The following is a 22,740-nucleotide window of genomic DNA, read 5'->3' on the forward strand; positions in this document are numbered from 1 at the left end:
GCCTATCCTGCACACAATGTTTCTGCCAAGGCTACCATCAATGGACTCACAGAATGCCTTCTCCACTGTCATGGTATTACACACAGCATTGCCTCTCACCAAGGCACTCACTTTATGGCTAAAGAAGTGTGGCAGTGGGCTCAGGCTCTTGGAATTCACTGGTCTTACCATGTTCCCTATCACCCTGAAACAGGTGGATTCATAGAATGGTGGAATGGCCTTTTGAAGTCAGAATTACAATGTGAACTAGGTGACAATACTTTCCAGGACTGGGGGAAAAGTTCTCCAGAAGGCCATGTATGCTCTGAATCAGTGTCCAGTATATGGTACTGTTTCTCCCAAAGGCAGGATTCATGAGTCCAGGAATCAAGGGGTGGAAGTGGAAGTGGCACCACTCACCATCACCCTTAGTAATCCGCTAGCAAAAGTTTTGCTTCCTGTTCCTACAACATTATGTTCGTTCATTCTCCTGGCCTAGAGGTCTTAGTTCCAGAGGGAGGAATGCTGTCACCAGGAGACAAAATGATTCCATTAAACTGGAAGTTAAGATTGCCACCTGGACACTTTGGGCTTCTCCTACCTTTAAGTCAACATGCTAAAAAGAGAGTTACGGTGTTGGCTGGGGCGATTGACCCAGATTATCAAGATGAAATCAGTCTACTACTCCACAACAGAGGTAAAGAGGAGTATGCATTGGGTGTACAGGAGATCCATTGGGTGTCTCTTAGTATTACCATGTCCTGTGATTAAGGTCAATGGGAAACTACAACAGCCCAATCCAGGCAGAACTACAAATGACCCAGGCCCTTCCAGAATGAAAGTTTGGGTCACTCCACCAGGAAAAAATCCACAACTGCTGAGGCGCTTGCTAAAGGCAAAGGGAATACAGAATGTATAGTAGAAGGTAGTCATCAATACCAGCTACGAACACATGACTAGCTGCAGAACCAAGGATTGTAATTGTCATGAGTATGTCCTCCTTCTTTTGTTAAAAACATGTTTGTGCATGTATATACTTGTACTAAGAAAATATCTTCATTTTATTTCCTTTCTCCTTTATCATGTGACATAAGATTTATTGACTTCACATCAGCATTTAAGTATTGTTAACTTTATATAATAGTATTTGGGTTGGGGATTGGGGCATTTCCAGTTGTATGAAGGATAGTTGTATTATGTTAGGCATAACTAGGACCTTATAGTCTTTATTGAAGATTACGTATAATCTCAGGAGATGTGTATGGGTTCAAGTTGACAAGGGGTGGACTTGTGGTGGTTAATACTGAGTGTCAACTTGATTGGAGTGAAGAATACAAAGTATTGATTCTGGATGTCTCTGTAAGGTTGTTGCCAAAGGAGATTAACATCAGAGTCAGTGGGCTGGGAAAGGCAGACCCACCCTTAATCTGGGTCAGCACAATCTAATCAGCTGCCAGCACAGCTAGAGTAAAAACTAGGCAGAAAAATGTGAAAAGAGACACAGGCCTAACCTCCCAGCTTACATCTTTTCCCTGTGCTGGATGCTTCCTGCCCTCAAACATCAGACTCCAAGTTCTTCAGTTTTGGAACTCAGACTGGCTCCCCTTGCTCCTCAGCCTGCAGATGGCCTATTGTGGGACCTTGTGATCATGTGAGTTAATACTTAATAAACTCCCCTTTATATATATATATATATATATATATATATATATATATACACACACACACACACACACACACACATATACGTATATATTTATACACATATATATACGTATATATATATACACATATATATATACGTATATATATGAAACTAAAATAGAAAAACAACAGAGAAAACAATGATATCAATAGCTGGCCCTTTTGGAATATATATATATATTCCATTAGTTGTGTCCCTCTAGAGAACTCTGACTAATACATGGTCCAAAGGCCTTTAAAAATACAAACTACCAAAAGTCATTTAAGAAAAAATACATAACTGGAATTGTACTACAGCCACTAAACAAATTAAATTACTAGTTTAAAACCTTATAACAAACTCCAGTCCCAGATTATTTCACTGGCCAATTCTACTAAACATTTCTTAGTAGAATTTTCTTAAAGAAATTTCTTCATGTCCTTAAAGAAAGACATAAAATTTATACAATAATTTCTATAAAATAAAAAAGGAAAGAATACCTCCAAATTATTTCATGTAGCCAGCATTAGCTTACTACCAAACCCAAAGACATTACACAAAAAGAAAATCCAGTGCATTAATGTAAATTTAAAAGCCATAAAAATAGAGTTTAAAATATTAGCAAATAAAATCAAGCAATATATACAATGGATAATACATCATGACAAAATTGGGTTTATCCCAGAAATGCAAAGTTGTTTTAACATTCAAAATTCATTCAATGTAATTCATCATATTAGCAGACTAAAGAAGAAAACCTACATGATCGTTTTAATGGTGCAGAAAAATCAGTTGAGAAAATTCATATCCAGTAATGACACTTTTGAAAAAAAAACCTCTCAGCAATGATGAATGCACAGGAAGTTCTTTATCCTGATAAAAGTCATCTACCAAGAAAATATATAGTACATAACATATATTAATACATATATTAATGATAAAAGACTAAATTTTTTTCCTAAAATCAGAAATAAGGTAAGATAGATGCTCCTATTCAATATTGTGCTGTACAATCTAACCAGTGCCACGAAGTGAGGAGAAGAAAAAGGTATATAAATTGTAAAGAAGAAAGAAAATGCCCTCTGTTCGCAGATACTATGATTGTATATATCAAAAATCCAAGGGAATCTACAAAAGAGCTCCAAGAAATACTAAATGAGTTTAGCGAGGTGCTAGGGTTCAAGGCCAATATACAAAAATTAATAGTATTCCTACATATTAGCAATGAATAATTGAAAGTCAAAATTAGAAACAGTGCCATTTACAATAACACAATAAGCAGATAAATTTAACAAAATGTGTACAGAACCAATATGATGAAAAATATAAAACACTGATAAAAGCAATCAAAGATCTAAACAAATGAAAAGATATACAATATCTATGGATTAGAAAAGTCAATATTGTTAAGATATCGATTTTTTTCAACCTGATATATAGAATCAATGCAATCCCATGGAAATCCCACAGTCCTTTTCTAAGTATTGACAAGTAGATTCTAAAATTGATATGGGAAGGCAAAGGTACTAAAATGACCAAATTATTTCTGAAGAAGAAAAAAGCCGGAAGATTCACATTACCTAATTTCAGGACTTACTATAAAGTGACAGTAATTGGCCAGGCATGGTGGCTCATACCTGTAATCCCAGCACTTTGGGAGACAGAGACAGGAAGATTATTTGAAGCGAGGTCAGGAGTTTGAGTTAGTAATTAAGACAGTGTAGTCCTAGTGAAAGGATAGCCACATAGGTAAATAAAACAGAACAGGCAGTCATAAATAGACCCACTCATATATGGACAATTGATTTGTGGCAAAATTGCAAAAGAAATTTAGTGGAGAAAGGAGAGTCTTTTACTAATGGTGCTGGAACAATTGGATGTTCATATGTGCAAAAAAAAAAATTCATCACAGCCTGTATCTTACCTTTCCTATGAAAAATTAACTCAAAATAGATCTGATGTAAAATGTAAAACTATAAAAATGTTAGAAAAAAACATAGGAGATCTTTGTGCCCTCAGGTTAAACAAGGAGTTCTCAGATATGATACCAAAGGTGTGATTCATAAAAGGAAAATCATGATAAATTGAATTTTATCAAAATTTAAAACCTTTGACCTATTAAAATACAAGCCATAGATGAGGGGAAAATATTTCCAAGTCATCTATCTGACAAGCAACTTGTAAACAGAATCCACAAAAAATTCTTAAAACTTAACAATTAGAAAACAAACCACTCAATTTAAAAGTGGGCATAAGATCTGAACAGACACTTCACCAAAGCATATATGCAGATGGAAAATAAACTATAAAAAGATAATCAACATCATTGAAAATATAAAGAGACACAACTATATATCAAATTGAATAGCTAAAATATAAAAAACTAATAAAATAAAGTGCAGTTAGGATGTGGAGCATCGGTAAATCTCATACATTTACTGGTAGAAATAAAAAGTGATAGGGTCTGTTCCAAGATGGCTGAATAGGAACAGCTCTGGTCTGCAGCTCCTAGTGTGATTGATGCAGAAGACAGGTGATTTCTGCATTTCCAACTGAGGTACTTTTTTCATCTCATTGGGACTGGTTGGACAGTGGGTGCAGCCCACACGGGGTGGCCAAAGCAGGGTGGGGCATCACCTCACCCAGGAATCACAGCAGTCTAGGGATTTCTCTTTCCTAGCCAAAGAAGCCATGACAGACTGTACCTGGAAAAACGGGACACTTCCACCCAAATACTGCACTTTTCCCATGGTCTTAGCAACCAGCAGACCAGGAGATTCTCTCTTGTGCCTGGCTCAGTGGGTCCCATGTCCACAGAGCCATGTTCACTGCTAGCGCAGCAGTCTGAGATCCAACTGCGAGGCTGCAGCCTGGCAGGGGGAGGGGCACCCACCATTGCTGAGACTTGAGTAGGTAAACAAAGCAGCTGGCAAACTCGAACTGGGCAGAGCCCACCACAGCCTAGCAAGGCCTGCTGCCTCTATAGACTCCAACTCTGTGAGCAGGACATAGCTGAACAAAAGGCAGCAGAAACTTCTGCAAACTTAAACGTCCCTGTCTGACAGCTCTGAAGAGAACAGTGGTTCTCCCAGCATGGTGTTTGAACTCTGAGAACGGACAGACTAGCTCCTCAAGTGGGTCCCTGACCCCCGTGTAGCCTAACTGGGAGACACATCCCAGGAGGGGCCAACAGACACCTCATACAGGCATGGGTGCCCCTCTGGGATGAAGCTTCCAGAGGAAGGATCAGGCAGCAATATTTGCTGTTCTGCAATATTTACTGTTCTGCAGCCTCCGCTGGTGATACCCAGGCAAATAGGGTGTGTAGTAGACCTCCAGCAAACTCCAAAAGACCTGCAAATGAGGGACCTGACTGTCAGAAGGAAAACTAACAAACAGAAAAGAATAGCATCAACATCAACAAAAAGGACATCCACACCAAAACCCCATCTGTATGTCACCAACATCAAAGACCAAAGGTAGATAAAACCACAAAGATGGGGAGAAACCAGGGCAGAAAAGCGGAAAATTCTGAAAACCTGAGCACCTATTCTCCTCCAGAAGATCGCAGCTCCTCACCAGCAATGGAACAAAGCTGAAAGGAGAATGACTTTGACAAGCTGACAGAAGTAGGCTTCAGAAGGTCAGTAATAACAAAATTCTCCAAGCTAAAGGAGCATGTTCTAATCCATCACAAGGAAGCTAAAAACCTTGAAAAAGGGTTAGATGAATGGCTAACTAGAATAAACAGCATAGAGAAGATCTTAAATGACTTGATGGAGCTGAAAACCATGGCACAAGAACTTCATGATGCATGCACAAGCTTCAATAGCTGACTCGATCAAGTGGAAGAAAGGATATCAGTGTTGAAGATCAAATTAATGAAATAAAGTGAGAAGGCAAGATTAGAGAAAAAAGAGTGAAAACAAATGAACAAAGCCTCCAAGAAATATGGGACCATGTGAAAAGACCAAATCTACATTTGATTGGTGTACCTGAAAGTGACGGGGAGAATGTAACCAAGTTGGAAAACATTCTTCAGGACATTATACAGGAGAACTTCCCCAACATAGCAAGGCAGACCAACATTCAAATTCAGGAAATGCAGAGAACACCACAAAGATACTCCTCGAGAAGAGCGATCTCAAGACACATAATTGTCAGATTCAACAAGGTTGAAATGAAGGAGAAAATGTTAAGGGCAGCCAGAGAGAAAGGTCGGGTTACCCACAACGGGAAGCCCATCAGATTAACAGAAGATCTCTTGGCAAAAACCCTACAAGCCAGAAGAGAGTGGGGGCCAATATTTAACATTCTTAAAGAAAAGAATTTTCAAACCAGAATTTCATATCCAGCTAAACTAAGCTTCATAAGTGAAGGAGAAATAAAATCCTTTACAGACAAGCAAATGCTGAGAGATTTTGTCACCACCAGACCTGCCTTACAAGAGCACCTGAGGGAAGCACTAAACATGGAAAGGAACAACCGGTACCAGACACTGCAAAATCATGTCAAATTGTAAAGACCATCAATGCTAGGAAGAAACTGCATCAATTAATGGGCAAAATAACCAGCTAACATCATAATGACAGGATCAAATTCAAACATAAAAATTATAGCCTTAAATGTAAATAGGCTAAATGCCCCAATTAAAAGACACAGACTGGCAAATTAGATAAAGAGTCAAGACCCATCAGTGTGCTGTACTCAGGAGACCCATCTCACATGCAAAGACACACATAAGCTCAAAATTAAGAGATGGAGGAAGATCTACCAAGCAAATGGAAAGCAAAAAATAGCAGGGCAGGGGTTGCAATCCTAGTCTCTGATAAAACAGACTTTAAACCAACAAAGATCAAAAGAGACAAAGAAGGCCATTACATAATGGTAAAGGGATCAATTCAACAAGAAGAGCTAACTCTCCTAAATATATATGCATCCAATACAGGAGCACCCAGATTCATAAAGCAAGTCTTTAGAGACCTACAAAGAGACTTAGACTCCCACACAATAATAATGGGAGACTTTAACACCCCACTGTCAATATTAGACAGATCAATGAGACAGAAGGTTAACAAGGATATCCAGGACTTGAACTCAGCTCTGCACCAAGGAGACCCAATAGACATCTACAGAATTCTCCACCCCAAATCAACAGAATATACATTCTTCTCAGCACTACATTGCACTTATTCTAAAATTGACCATACAATTGGAAGTAAAGCACTCCTCAGCAAATGTAAAAGAACAGAAATCACAACAAACTGTCTTTCAGACTACAGTGTAATCAAAGTGTAATCAAATTAAAACTCAGAATTAAGAAACTCACTCAAAACTGCACAACTACATGGAAACTGGACAACCTGCTACTGAATGACTACTGGGTAAATAACGAAATGAAGGCAGAAATAAAGATGTTCTTGAAACCAGTGAGAACAAAGACACAATGTCCCAGAAACTCTGGGACACATTTAAAGCAGTGTGTAGAGGGAAATTTATAGCACTAAATGCCCACAAGAGAAAGCAGGAAAGATCTAAAATTGACACCCTAACATCACAATTAAAAGAACTAGAAAAGCAAGAGCAAACACATTCAAAAGCTAGCAGAAGGCAAGAAATAACTAAGATAAGAGCAGAACTGAAGGAGATAGAGACACAAAAAACCCTTCAAAAAATCAATGAATCCAGGAGCTGGTTTTTTTAGATCAACAAAATTGATAGACCTCTAGCAAGACTAATAAAGATGAGAGAAGAATCAAATTGATGCAATAAAAAATGATAAAGGGGATATAACCACCAATCCCACAGAAATACAAACTACTATCAGAGAATACTATAAACACCTCTATGCAAATAAACTAGAAAATCTAGAAGATATGGATAAATTCCTGGATACATACACCCTCCCAAGATTAAACCAGCAAGAAGTTGAACCTCTGAATAGACCAAAAACAGGCTCTGAAATTGAGGCAATAATTAACAGCCTACCAACCAAAAATGTCCAGGACCAGACAGATTCACAGCTTAATTCTACCAGAGGTACAAAGAGGACCTGGTACCATTCCTTGTGAACCTATTCCAATCAATAGAAAAAGAAGGAATTTTCCCTAACTCATTTAATGAGGCCAGCATCATCCTGATACCAAAGCCTGGCAGAGATACAACAAAAAAAGAGAATTTTATACCAATATCCCTGATGAACATCAATGCAAAAATCCTCAATAAAATACTGGCAAACTGAATCCAGCAGCATATCAAAAAGCTTATCCACCATGATCAAATTGGCTTCATCCCTGGGATGCAAGGCTGATTCAACATACACAAATCAATAAACGTAATCCATCACATAAACAGAACCAACAACAAAAACCACATGATTATCTCAATAGTTGCAGAAAAGGCCTTCGACAAAATTCAACAGCCCTTCATGCTAAAAACTCTCAACAAATTAGGTATTGATGGCATGTATCTCAAAATAATAAGAGCTATTTACGACAAACCCACAGCCAATATCATACTGAATGGGCAAAAACTGGGAGCACTCCCTTTAAAAACCAGTACAAGACAAGGATGCCCTCTCTCACCATTCCTATTCAACATAGTGTTGGAAGTTCTGGCCAGGGCAATCAGGGAAGAGAAAGAAATAAAGGGTATTCAATTAGGAAAAGAGGAAATCAAATTGTCCCTGTTTGCAGATGACATGATTGTATATTTAGAAAACCCCATCGTCTCAGCCCAAAATCTCCTTAAGCTGATAAGCAACTTCAACAAAGTCTCAGGATACAAAATCGATGTGCAAAAACACAAGCATTCCTATACACCAATAATAGACAGAGAGCCAAATCATGAGTGAATTCCCATTCTCAATTGCTTCAAAGAGAATAAAATACCTAGGAATCCAACTTACAAGGGATGTGAAGGACCTCTTCAAGGAGAACTACAAACCACTGCTCAATGAAATAAAAGAGGACACAAACAAATGGAAGAACATTCCATGCTCATGGATAGGAAGAATCAATATCATGAAAATGGCCATACTGCCCAAGGTAATTTATAGATTCAATGTCATCCCCATCAAGCTCCCAATGACTTTCTTCACAGAATTGGAAGAAACTAAAGTTCATACGGAACCAAAAAAGAGCCTGCATAGCCAAGACAATCCTAAGCAAAAAGAACAAAGCTGGAGGCATCACACTACCTGACTTCAAACTATACTACAAGGCTACAGTAACCAAAACAGCATGATACTGGTACCAAAACAGATATATAGATGAATGGAACAGAACAGAGGCCTCAGAAATAACACCAAACATCTACAACCATCTGATCTTTGACAAACCTGACAAAAACAAGAAATGTGGGAAGGATTCCCTATTCAATAAATGGTGCTGGGAAAACTGGCTAGCCATATGTAGAAAGCTGAAAGTGGATCCCTTCCTTAAACCTTGTACAAAAATTAATTCAAGATGGATTAAAGACTTAAATGTTAGACATAAAATCATAAAAACCCTAGAAGAAAACCTTGGCAATACCATTCAGGACATAGGCATGGACAAAGACTTCATGACTAAAACACCAAAAGCAATGTCAACAAAAGCCAAACTAGACAAATGGGATCTAATTAAACTAAAGAGCTTCTGCACAGCAAAAGAAACTACCATCAGAGTGAACAGGAAACCTACAGAATGGGAGAAAATTTTTGCATTCTACCCATCTGACAAAGGACTAATATCCAGAATCTGCAAAGAACTTAAACAAATTTACAAGAAGAAAACAAACAACCCTATCAAAAAGTGGGCAAAAGATATGGATGGACACTTCTCAAATGAAGACATTTATGCAGCCAACAGACACATGAAAAAATGCTCATCATCACTGGTCATCAGATAAATGCAAATCAAAACCACAATGAGATACCATCTCACACCAGTTAGAATGGCGATCATTAAAAAGTCAGGAAACAACAGATGCTGGAGAGGATATGGAGAAATAGGAATGCTTTTACACTGTTGGTGGGAGTGTAAATTAGTTCAAACATTGTGGAAGACAGTCTGGCGATTCCTCAAGGATCTAGAACTAGAAATACCATTTGACCCTGCGATCCCATTACGGGGTATACACCCAAAGGATTATACATCATGCTACTATAAAAACACATGCACACATATGTTTATTGCGGCACTATTCGCAAAAGCAAAGACTTGGAACCAACCCACTTGTCCATCAGTGATAGACTAGATTAAGAAAATGTGGCACATATACACCGTAAGATACTATGCAGCCAAAAAAAAAGGATGAGTTCATGTCCTTTGCACGGACATGTATGAAGCTGGAAACCATCATTCTCAGCAAACTGTCACAAGGACAGAAAACCAAACATTGCATGTTCTCACTCATAGGTGGGAACTGAACAATGAGAACACTTGGACACAGGGCAGAGGACATCACACACCAGGGCCTGTTGGGAGCTGGGGGAGGGATAGCATTAGGAGAAATACCTAACGTAAATGATGAGTTGATGGGTGCAGCAAACCAACATGGCACATGTATACCTATGTAGCAAACCTGCACGTTGTGCACATGTACCCTAGAATTTAATGCATAAGAGAGAAGAAAGAAAGAAAGAAAGAAAGAAAGAAAGAAAGAAAGAAAGAAAGAAAGAAAGAAAGAAAGAAAGAAAGAAAAAGCTGTGCAGCTACTTTGGAAAATAGTGTGGTAGTTTGTTATAATTAACTATATACATACCATACTACCCAGTAATGTCACTCCCTAGGTATTTACCCAAGAAATATAGAAATTTATGCTAACAGAAAAATTTGTATGCTAATATTTATCAGTTTTATTCATAATTACCAAAAACTGGAAACAACTGAGCTGTCCTTCAACTTGTGAATGAATGAATGAATGAATGAATGAATGAATAAACAATTTGTATGCAGCCACCAAATGGAATACTATTCAGCAATGAAAAGGAATGAACTGTTGACTCTCACAACAACATGGATCAATTCCCATTTTGTTAAGCAAAACAATAAAAATTAAAAAGCCATACTCAAAAAACTCCATATTATATGGTTTTATTATATGACATTCTGAATAGCAAAAACTGTTGGCACAGAAAAGAAATCTATGTTTGCCAAAGTTTGGGGCTAGATGAAGAAGTTTTGACAACATGGAAGTAATAAGGAGAATTTTTTTTTGGTAATAGAACTGTGTTATGAGTGTAATAGTGGATGTACAACTCCATGCATAGAATTTACACTACAGAGTGAATTTTACTGCATGTAGCTTTTTTTAAACACCTACATAGTCCTGAACATACAGAAAAATGAAAGATAGACCATTAACACTTTATCCCCAGAAAAAGTTAATAGAAACCATGCCCAAACACCAGGTCCCTAGACCATTATAAGAACATTAACATCTAGCTTTTGTAAAAATTTTCATAATGGCATATGAAATTAAATTAACAGTCAATGTTTCCATACCTAATTTTAACCTTTAACTCAAAATGTATGTGATTTAATCCAATGATAAAGCTCATTGTGCAGACAGAACATTTAATTTTGCCCTCTTAAAATTACTGCACTTCTGAATAAAACATTAGAGGCACTTAATGGAAAGGTGTTAAGTTCATTGACTTTGTTATTATTACCATAATTAAGGCAAAATATACCCAGCTAAAAAGGTTTTGCCAAGATAATGAACATTTCTTAATTGCCTCAGTGTTTGTAGCAAACCAACTTTATGTTAAACTCAAGTTCCCCTTGTCACACCAAGCACTTAATCAGAAAGAAACTTAAAGGGGAATCCTAGAATTTGAGAAATTGGAAGAAACTACAGGGATCATAGAATCAGATCAAGTCCCTCATTTTATAAACTTGAAATACTGTCTTTGTATTTTACATATTTTTATGATATATTATAATGTTTCAACATCCTAATAAAAATCTTTCTGGCAAGAGAGACTGTTCCTCCCAACCCCAAGCCAATTCTTAGCAATACAGAGGACTTGGCTGAAAGCACCACTTTGATGTGCAAACTAACAAATCCAGAGCCATACCTTCTCTATCAGGCCATTGCACATCAGGAAGCAATATTCCTCTACCTTAACCATCCCAGAGCCGGGTATCAGGTGCTTAGAGACCACCCCTAACCCTATATCCCAAAGTCCACCGAAATTGTTCAAACTTGTCAATACAAAATTATTCACCCTGCACTGCTTTGCCTTTCCCATGATACCCCATGACCCAAGCGCTCCCTTTGTTCCGGTCTTTAGCCTCCTGACAGTCTCGGTATCTTTCCCATGTGGCCCTGCATGGTGTGCTGTGCCTCCTGTCTCTAGGACTTGTGAGTATAATAAACTCTGCTTTCTCCTGAGCCTCTCCTGTGTCTCCTCTTGGGGCCACATTTGACTGACCATCTCATAAAAGAATACAAAACTGTCTTACCTTGTAAAATGTGGGATACAGACCTTAAGCTCTTATGCTAATTACAGGTGGTTTCAGACTAGAATATGAAACTTGAAACATCTGCATATGAAATAGGCAGAGAAGAAGAACTGGCCAAAATAATCTTTACATATATATTAATCTACTGACTTTGTTTTTAAAAATGTGTGGATTTTGTTGGAGCATTTTATAATTACTTCTGGTTCTGTAGATTGGTGTAGAACTCAGGGTGGTATTTTCTGCAAACATGCAAAAGAGACAAGAAACCCCACCCAAACCCTACACCCTCATGCTACCATCCCAGGCCTAGTACTGTCTGCACCAATGAGACAAGGTTTTTATGGCACCCCAGGAAATAAAGTCACAGAAGGAGAATGGCAGATGACCTAAGTGCATATGAGAAGGCTCTCTTGATAATAATAATTTTCAACTTTTTCTGATCTCTCTAACGGAGGACAGAAGCAAATGTGTATTCCTAGAGAGGTTAGGGTGTAGCCCAAAGTACACTGCAGAAGTACAGAGTTTCCTGAAAACATTGTTATTTTAAAAATCCATGCAAAACTTGCACTCTGCTTCATAATTTACCAGTGATTGTTTTAATATCCAAATCAAACTTTCCACAAAACAAAAATCACCCATTTCTAGGAAATTCCCCAAATTCGCTAACTATAAGTAATGTTTATCCTTTAGCTCTTTGGATTATTTCCCCCAAGCACACATACTCCAATGTAATAAGCACAGAAAAATTGTGTTATAAACACACACAACACACACACACAACATACAGCACAATAATCTGATGAAACTGGGATTTCTCTGAATTGTGGAAGCAGAGGTAGGTCCACGTTAGCACACATGTTCGCATAGAAGGATCAACATAAGCATTACACTTTATTTTGCAATGTTTCATCTTTTTCTCCTTTAAGAGAGAGTCCTTCTTCGGTGTCTCCTAGACACTGGTAACCCTGGAGAAGTGTGACAACTCTCAATATTCACTCCATAAAATTGTGACTTGCTTTTCCCAGAAGAAGTGGCTATAAGAGCCCAAAAATCTTGGCAAATTAGAAAATGACCCTGAGAATAGACGCATCTTAAAGTCTTATCCGCATATTGCAGGAAATAGAAGGTGAGCATTAAGATAGGTTGATACTTTCCTTTTTAAAAAGAAGGGAAAATAACATTGAAGAACTTATCATGTGCAAAGCACTGCATTAGGGCACTTTATATTCAATACCTCATTTATTCTCCATTACAAACTTATCCCTGTGTGTCTGTGTTGAATATATTTTCCAGATGACCACACTGAACCTGAGCTTTAATCAACACGGCAATTTAGTAGCAGAGGCAGGGTTTGACCTCCACTCCCCCACACCCCCAAACCTTTATGTCTTACAACAAAGCCTATGTATCTATTACACTATGCTCCTCTCTTATTCGGCCACAAAGACCACATTTGCTATCACTGGGCAGGTGAAATAGTAATCTTTTGCCCTGCATCAGATTATTTGCTTTCAGAACAAACTTCCAAATTCAGCTTTGACTAGAAATCGTTCGAAGCTGTCTACTGTGATTATCTTCTTCATATTATTTGGAGAAATCAATTTGTCATTATCTAGTAACATTGAAGAAACACATACTATATGACCAGTAATTCCACTTTTGGGTATGTACTCCAGAGAAATGCAGACAAATATTCACCAAGATCCCTTCTTAAGAATGTTGATAATATTACTGTTTGCCACAGCTCCAAACTGAAGACAGCCCAAAAGTCCATTGACAGTAGGATAGGTAAATAAATCATAGTAATTTGTACAACTCCATTCAGGAACACTGTGCAAGAATAAAAGTTAATTAGACACACAACATGAATTCATCTTTCAATCCAAATGTTAAACAAAAAAAAAAGACATAAAGGAATTCTTACAGCATGCTTTGTCCTACATAAAGTTCAAAAACTTGCAAAACTAAACTAAATCATTCAGGAATGCTTGCATATGTGGTTAAACAATTTTTTAAACCAAGGGATTAATTACCATTAAATTAATTAAAGGAGATATTCTGAAAGGAGAGAAGGTAGTCTAATGGGGCAAGGCCTCACAAAGATGGCTTATTACTTGACTTGGGTTGTGATTATACAAGTATTTACTTCTGTAATTATTATGCACTTTTCTATATGTGTGTTTTATTTCAAATTTGCGAAATGTTTACAAAATTAAACATTTAAAAACTAAAATTCCTGGGAAGTTATTTCATTCTACCGTATAGTAAACTCTAATGTCTCAATTCCTCTGACCTCTCACTTTAATTATTCAGGTGCTGAGAATGTTAACATTGCAGATGAGAATAAGATAAACATGAGGACTACCAAATAAAGCAGTTTCTGAAATTATTTGAACTAGAAAATAAATATGCATGTAAGATTATATGTAGATTAAACCAACAGAATTCACATTTATCAAATGCCACATATGTGCCATGACAGAAACACACTAATGCACACAGGAATTTATGAGCAATATAAGCAATACATCAGCCTTTTCCCTTCTCTACACAGGGAAAAAATCAGTACTAAGGTGATTGTATGTGATGAGTGCCTACACACAAAGACCTCCAAGAGATAAGTTTTCATCTAAATTTTAAAGAACAGGTATGCCTTGCCAAAGAAAGTAAAGGGGCATTCATCATGGAGAAGTATGTGACACAGATCCAGCAGGAGTTAGTGTCAGCCAAGATTGAGTATGGAAGATTGACTTGGCTGGAGTAGAGTAGCTATAGTATAAAGTGATATTTGCAATATAAAGAGTGTCAAGGAGAATCCAGTGAGGTGTGTGTGTGTGTGTGCATATGCGTGTGCATAGAGAACCCTTGAAAAATTAAGAGGCTGGACATGATGGCTCATGCCTGTAACCCAAACATTTTGGGAGGCTGAGGAAGGAGGATCACTTGAGGTTGGGAGTTCAAAACCAGCCTGAGCAACAGAGTGGACCCCATCTCTACTAAAAATTAAAAAAAAAAAAAAAAAAGCTGGGCATAGTGGCGCACACCTGCAGTCCCAGCTACTCGGAGGCTGAAATGGGAGGATCCCTTGAGCCCAGGAGTTTGAGGCTGCAGTTAGCCAGGATGACGCCACTGCACACCAGCCTAGGAGACACAGCAAGATCTTATCTCAAAAAAAAAAAGAAAAGAAAAAAGTAAGAATAAAAGAAAGAAAGAAAAATTAGTAAGAAAAAGACAAACATCTTCAATCTTAAAATACACAAAGACTGGCCGGGCACAGTGGCTCACACCTGTAATCCCAGCACTTTGGGAGGCCCAGGCAGGCAGATCACCTGACGTTGGGAGTTCGAGACCAGCCTGACCAACATAGAGAAACCCCATCTCTACTAAAAATACAAAATTAGCCAGGAGTGGTGGCACATGCCTGTAATCCCACCTACTCTGGAGGCTGAGGCAGGAGAATCACTTGAACCCAGGAGGCGGAGGTTGTGGTGAGCTGAGGTCGCACCATTGCACTCCAGCCTGGGCAACAAGAGCAAAACTCCGTCACAAAAAAAAAAAAAAAATTACACAAAGACTGGAATAGATTTTTCACAGAAAAGGATTTCAAAAAGCCAATAAGCATATAAAAACATGTCCACATTAATTAGCAAAAAAAAATAAAAAATGAAGCTAAACTGAGTTCCCACCATACACTCATCAAATTGACTAAAATGAAAAAAATCAACAACGCCATGTAGTGGCAAGGACATGGAACAAATGGAACTTTCTCACTGCCGAGCAAGGTGTCAGAGCCCCGGCATCAGAAAGTGGTTGACCCACAGGAAGAAATAAGAATTTACTGATGACAGTGTAGAGTTGAAAAGGAAAGTTTTATTAGATAGACACTGCAGAAGAGTGCAGCAGGGTGCCTAAGCAAGAGAGGACTGAGTGCGTCACGATGGATTTTTCCTTAGGGGTATTTATGGACCTTAAACGGGACCTTCAGGGTAATTTGAACTATGTTAGCTACATAAGTCATGATAAATGATTACATTTGTAGACATTTTGGTGCCTTGACATCAGCAAGGGTTGCATATTGAGTTTTGACATGTATGCATTTCAGAGATGTATAGAAATCCCAGTCATTTATAAATCTTGGAGAAAGAAATCTGGTACCAGGTGTTGGCTTCAGATAATAAGGAAGTGTAATTACTTCTAAATTACTCAGATAAGGAGTTTTGCCTCTGGATTGTCTGCTTGGTAGCCACTAGGTGATCTTTGCTTTCCTCACTCACTTTTCTGGTAGTCCTGTAAATTGGAATAACTTTGGAAAATGTTTGGTAATATCTACCAAAGCTAAACATATGTCCTATGACCCTGCAGTCCTGCTCCTGGATATATACTCAACAGAAATTAGTTCCATGCCTATGAAAGACTTGCACAGGAACGTTGACAGCAATTTTATTCAAATAGCCAAAAACTGGAAATGACCCAAATTGTTCATCCACAGTAAAAGGAGCAAATAAATGATAGTATAGTCATACAATGAAATACTGTAGAGCAACAAAAAAGAACAAGTTACTGATTATATAACTATGTAAATGAATCTCACAAATAAAATGTTAAATGAAAGAAGTCAGACTTTACTTAAAGAGTATATATTTACATATTATATACATTCACAAAAGAGGATTTCATTTCCATTTATTTGATGTTTAAAAACAAAAACTTGTCTACAGCCGTAGAAGTCAGAACAGTAGTTAGCTTCTGTGAGAGAAAACCTTCCCAGGCGAAGGCACAATGAATCATTCTGGGCCCCTACACATGTTCTGTATCTCGATCTAAGTGGTAGTTACATAGGTTCACACACGTGCAAAAATGTATTGGGCTGTACACTTAATATTTATAACTTACCTTAGTTATACCTCAAGAAAAATAAATTTAAAGACTGTAGCAACCAAAATAAAAAGTATCAAAAGAAGCAAATGAAAAAGTGCAGGTCTGGCAAAAGAGGGTAAATAAATTATTTCTTTTCCCATAAAGCATTAATGCCTCCCTTTACATTTTTATGTTGGCCATGTAATTATTAAAATCTTATAAAAGAAGATTTTAATCACATATATCCCCACTTATAACTCAACCCTAAAACATGAACTGTTTTTATTTATTCATGTTCTCTTGCATATCCTTTTCCATTGATCTGTATACAACATTACATAAGGAGTCATTCGGGACACAAATTCTATATAGAAGAAATCAGGATTTGCAATCAGAGAATCTAATTTGAATCCTTGCTGGGCTATTTATTAGTTGTGTGATCTCAGCCAAATTACCTAATCTCTCTAAATCACAGTTTGCTCACTTATAAAAGGGAAGAAAAATGTTCTCTACCTCACAGAATTGTTGTGAGAATTAAGTTAGATAATGTGTATTTATAAGCACTGCTCAAATGATTGGTAATTTACATTAATATTGGTGATCCCAGTGTGGATACAATTCTTCATTCTGCTCTTCTCATTTCCTCTATAATTAGCATTTCCACAATAGCACATAATCTACATAGTGGCCTACCTAATTTCCATTCCCTCATTTCACCAACAGGAACTCAATTTTATCTGAGATTGGCACTGTGCCTAGCCTAGTGATAAATCATGATTGATCTACACCAATGATGGCAAATCTGTTTCCTACTTTCCCAGCCTTCCTTGCAGCAGGGCGTGGGGTCGTGTGACTAAATTCTGGCACTGAAACCTAAGGGGAAATGCACTGTGGGAGAAAGGGGTGCTTCTGATAAGGCATTCATTTTACTGGCAAAAGGAACAGACCATGCTGGCCCTCCCTTTCTCCCACTTCTTTCGGTCTTAAACCCAGATGCACCACTTAGAACTGTGAAAGCCATCTTGTGTATACAAGAGAAATGCTTAAGAATTTCAGAGACATCAGCCCTTGACGCACCTGTGGCCACCTACCTCTGGACTTCTTGTTATGTCAGAAAAATAAATTCAAGTTTCTAGAAGCCATTGTTAAGGTTTCTGTTATTGCAGTTGAAAACATTCCAAACTAATATAATGGTTTCAATGCCTTTGGAAAAGTTCATCAACTTCATATAATGAAATTAGTCATTTACTTTTTGCCAGAAATGTACATTGTTTAGTTCCACAAACATTTACAGATGGTCTTCTATGTACCAGTTATCTGGGTTACTGAATAAATATGACACATTCCTTCCCATGAAGGAACTAACAGTGTTTTCAATTTTGCTCTATTAAAAAAAAATTCCAAGCTGAAAATCATGATGCATACAATTTCTTCGGAGTTATTTACATGAGAAAAAATACTCTCACCCCATCCACCCACTGTGCTCCCAATGATTTTCTACTGGTTTCTGGAACACACCAAGCTCATTTCATTTTAGTAAATCTTCATTAGCAGAATATTTTTTCTCCAGATCGGTGTAAACTGGCTGTTTCCTGGCATTGAGATCTCAAACTAAATGCCTCTTCCTCAAAATGGTCTTTCTCTTCAATCACACAAATGCAGTCATCCATCATAGCATCCTTTTTAATTCTCTGCAGAGTAATTATGATGTCATGTTTTTCCTGCTTATTGATTCCTTTTTTTGTTGTTTCCTCCAGTACCTCTACCCCACTGCTAAAATATAAGCAACCTGTAAGAAATGAGTGTGTTTTGACTACATCTGCAACCCCTACAACGGGGGTCAGCAAACCACAAGCTGCAGCTAAATCCAGCCAGCTGCCAGTTTTGTAAATAAAATTTCATTCAAACATGGCTATGTGTACTAGTTACCGTATCGTCTATGGCTGCCTTTGTGCTACAAGAACAGAGTAGAATAGTTACAACAGAGACTAGATGTCCCACAAAGTCTAAAGTAGTTGCTATGTGGTCTTTTACAGAAAAAGTTTCTGGATCCTAGATCTAGAAGAATGCCTCACACAAAATAAGCACTTAATAAATTCCCAAGAAACATTAACATTTTGTCTCAAAGGCTGTTATTTGTAGGTTTTCTCATTCTGTAGGTATATTTGTTTCTAATGATGCTATCAGTCCTGTTTCAGTAGGATTGCTCTTTACTGGAATTGCTTCATTGACAGGAATTCCACACCAAATTTCCAGAAAGAACAACTCATCACCTTGGATCAGAGGATTAAAGGTTTAGCACAATATTCTGCAAATCACAGGGACATCTCAAAGGCTGAATCAAATGTCTTTCTCACATTTAGTTTAGCAGCATAAATCAGATTTCACTTGCATTTTTTTTTTTGTACATCATTTCATTCTTAGGCTATATTCCATCATGGACATACAGCCATATGATTGGTTTTGGTTGGTTGGTTAAACTTTTATTTTAGGTTCAGGAGTCCATGTGCAGGTGTCACAGGATCCTTAGGGTGTTGCTTTTCCAGCCAGAAACCTTTGTGGCTGGTGGCACCTTTGCCCAAATTTTGCTTGGGCCCGCTGGGCTTGTTCCACCCACTTGACCCAGCAGGCCGTGCTCAGCTTGTGCTACTGGCCCAGATGTCATGCCTGCCAAGGGCAAGCCAGGTGTGGAGCAGTGAGGGGTGTGTGAGTGAGCATGGGGTCCAGCCACTGCACACAGCTAGGCATGCCAGCTGCAGTGGGGCAGGCAGTTCCAGGCTCCAGCACAGGCCATGGCTTTGTGTAAGGCAGTGGCTGGACCAGGCATACCAATAGCGGATTCCACTGTGAGCACCAGGGAACACAGTGGCACCCAGAAGATCAGAGTTGCCAGGAACTACAGAGCCCCAAAGAAGGTGTCACAGCCTTGGCTCAGGGAGCCCCTAGGTCTGGCTTCCCTAAAGGGCTGCAGCTCTTCTCTCCTTCCCATTGCCCACAATGTGACAAGCAGGGGGCATGTTCTAGCCCTATTTGTGTTACAGCACTTTCAGTCCCACCATTCAGTGGGTCCTGAGTTCTTGTCCCCTGTCCAGGAAGAATGAGGTAGGCAGACAACTGGAGGGTGAGCAAGGCAGACAGGGGCTTCATGGAGCAACACAACAGTTCTCAGGAGACCTGGAGTGGGTGGCTCCTTTCTGCAGCTGGTAGTACGGACATCTCTGTGAGTCTGGCTGAGTCCTAGGCTTTTATGGACTTTGGAAGAGGGAAAGTGCATGCTGATAGGTCCATAGGTGGCCATGGGCACCGGAAAAAGCACCACAGTTCTCACTTCGGGCCACAGACTCTATGTTTAAGGCCCTTCCTGGCTTGAAGGTCGGGCTTCATCAGAGACCTGCCCCTTTCCACCCAGAAGGTTGTCTTTATCCTGCTACCATCAATCATGTCATCCCTTTTCTGGCGCCCAGGCTGTTTGTGCAGAGGGGTGCCTGCAGGCCCACACCCAGCCACCCTTAGCCCCACCTCAGCTTCCCTCCCATGCTTGTCAGTGCCCAAAATCTGGAGGGGTCCAAGGCAGCAGGGGCTTGGTGGGTCAGCACCACCCTGAGCACTCACACACTTGGCTGGGTTGCAACAGCACCTGGGCTTGTCCTCAACTTTGCTCCCAAATCGGAGCAGGCATGGCGAGAGGCCAGGCAGCAGGAGCAGGCACTTTCTAGCTTGCAGGGGCAGGGAGGCTTCCTGGGTCTCAGGGAGTACAGGGATGCCCGGGTCCACAGCCATGGCTAGGAAGCAGCAGCTGTGCCTGGGAGGGTGGGGCTGCCACCCCGTGAACTCAGGAAGGCAGTGGGGCTTCCCCCTGTTCCCAGCTCCCACTGGCTCCATGGAACATGCTGTTGGCGTCTTCACAGTGGCCACTTCAGATAGGCCGCTGCTACCGTCATGGGTTTATTATATAGGTAAACTCATGTAATGGGGATTTGTTGTACTGGTAATTTCATCACCCAGGTACCAAGACTAGTACCCAATAGTTATTAGATCTTCATTTGTCAACCCAAATTACACTACCGACAAGTGAAATATCTGAATTTTTTATCACAATTAAAATTGTGTTCTAAATAATATCAACATCTTCATTTGATTTTCCAAAAAAAAAATAGGTTGCTCTTTAATTCAGATTCTTTTCATGCATTTTTTTTAATCACTGAAATGAAATAAAACTGCTCTGAGCCCAAGTTAGGGAACCAGCTCCCATATCCATTAGTCACTTTTTTATTTTTGCTTCTTAGGAATATAACTTCTAATAAGTTTTGACATTAAATATTGAAAGCTTAATTCTCAGAGGACTGATTTCAAAAATACATTTCCCATATTTTTGCTTGCTGCTGAGACCTTAGAGTGTGCTACTAGGTGTATCCAGGGCAGTTCCAGGGACAGTTTATCTTTGGCAGGTTGTGGGTGTGGATAGGGCTGGGGGGAAGTTGCTTGCAAAACAAGTTGTATTGTGAGCACACTAATAAGCTCCTCTTCCAGCCACCACAGAACCTCCATGAAAACCTCTAGGATTATGGGTAGGGTTTCAGAGTCTCTCTTTTGGGGATCTATCGCTTATGTCCCAGACCAAATCAATCTGTTCTGTTTTTCTTTTCCCCAAATCTGCCTCTTCGACATCTATTTGATTTATGCCTCAGCCAAGTCCTTTCAGATTAAGGTTTTGTTTAGTGTCCGATCTTCACTCCTAAGCATTGTCTCTGTGTCCACTTTATTTCTATGACCTGTGGCCCTCAGGCTAGACTCATCCTATGGCCACATTCAGCCAGGTTCCCAGATTCTTGTTCTGTGGGATTTCGTTAAGGGAGTTACAACATCCAAATCAATATGTAGAAAGCTGATCTAGTCTCAAAGAATAGAGTTTAATGTATTGCAGAAGCTTATTGTCCCCTGTGGTAGAGGAAGTACAGCTCATTCTGCACTCTCCAGAAATGTGATGAAAACAAACAGAAAAATAACCAATTACTCGCTTCAACCCCTGCTCTTTAATATTTCAAGAATTGTCATATTAAACTTCAGACTCTCAAAGTATAAATAAATCAAGTAGTTGGAAAGACCACTGTCTTCAAATGACTCAAATTTTTTAATTGATGCTGCATTATGCAATACATTTGAAACTATAATCTTTGGTGATGATTCCATTCAGCACTTTCATAATTTCTATTTGGTATGTTCATGTGTTTCTGTGTTTCCTTCATATATTCTGCAGACATTTCAAATAAGTACTTATTTCAAATCTCTAGACCCAAACATTTGGGAATAAGTTATCACTTGGCATAATCTTAGATTACTGTGTTATTTCCCAAAGTAGATTACTACATGGCTCACTAATCCTGTGAGATGCTCTAAGTTTAAGACAGAAATTCTCTTATCAAATACTGTTATATACTTAGGAAATTCTGGATTCTATAACACTCTCTTCATCAGCGCCTGTGAACTGCAGTAGTAAAGAAATCTGTTTGTTTACCCGCCATTTCCCAAAATTATTTAGCTATAAACTTTATTTTAAATATTTATTAACATTCCATAGATCACACTGTGGGAAAGGAGGGTCTATTTCAGCTGAGCAGGTTCAAATGCTTTCATTGTCCAGGTATGTAAATAAATGTGGAAAGCAGTCTGGTATAAGACAAGAGGGAATGATGAGGGACGTGGAACTAGTGGGGGAACTTTGCTCTCCTAAAGGCTTTCAAGTCCAAAGTACTGAAAACAAATGATAGA

This window comes from Homo sapiens, chromosome 17, assembly GCF_000001405.40.
Source record: "Homo sapiens chromosome 17, GRCh38.p14 Primary Assembly".
NCBI lineage: Eukaryota > Metazoa > Chordata > Mammalia > Primates > Hominidae > Homo > Homo sapiens.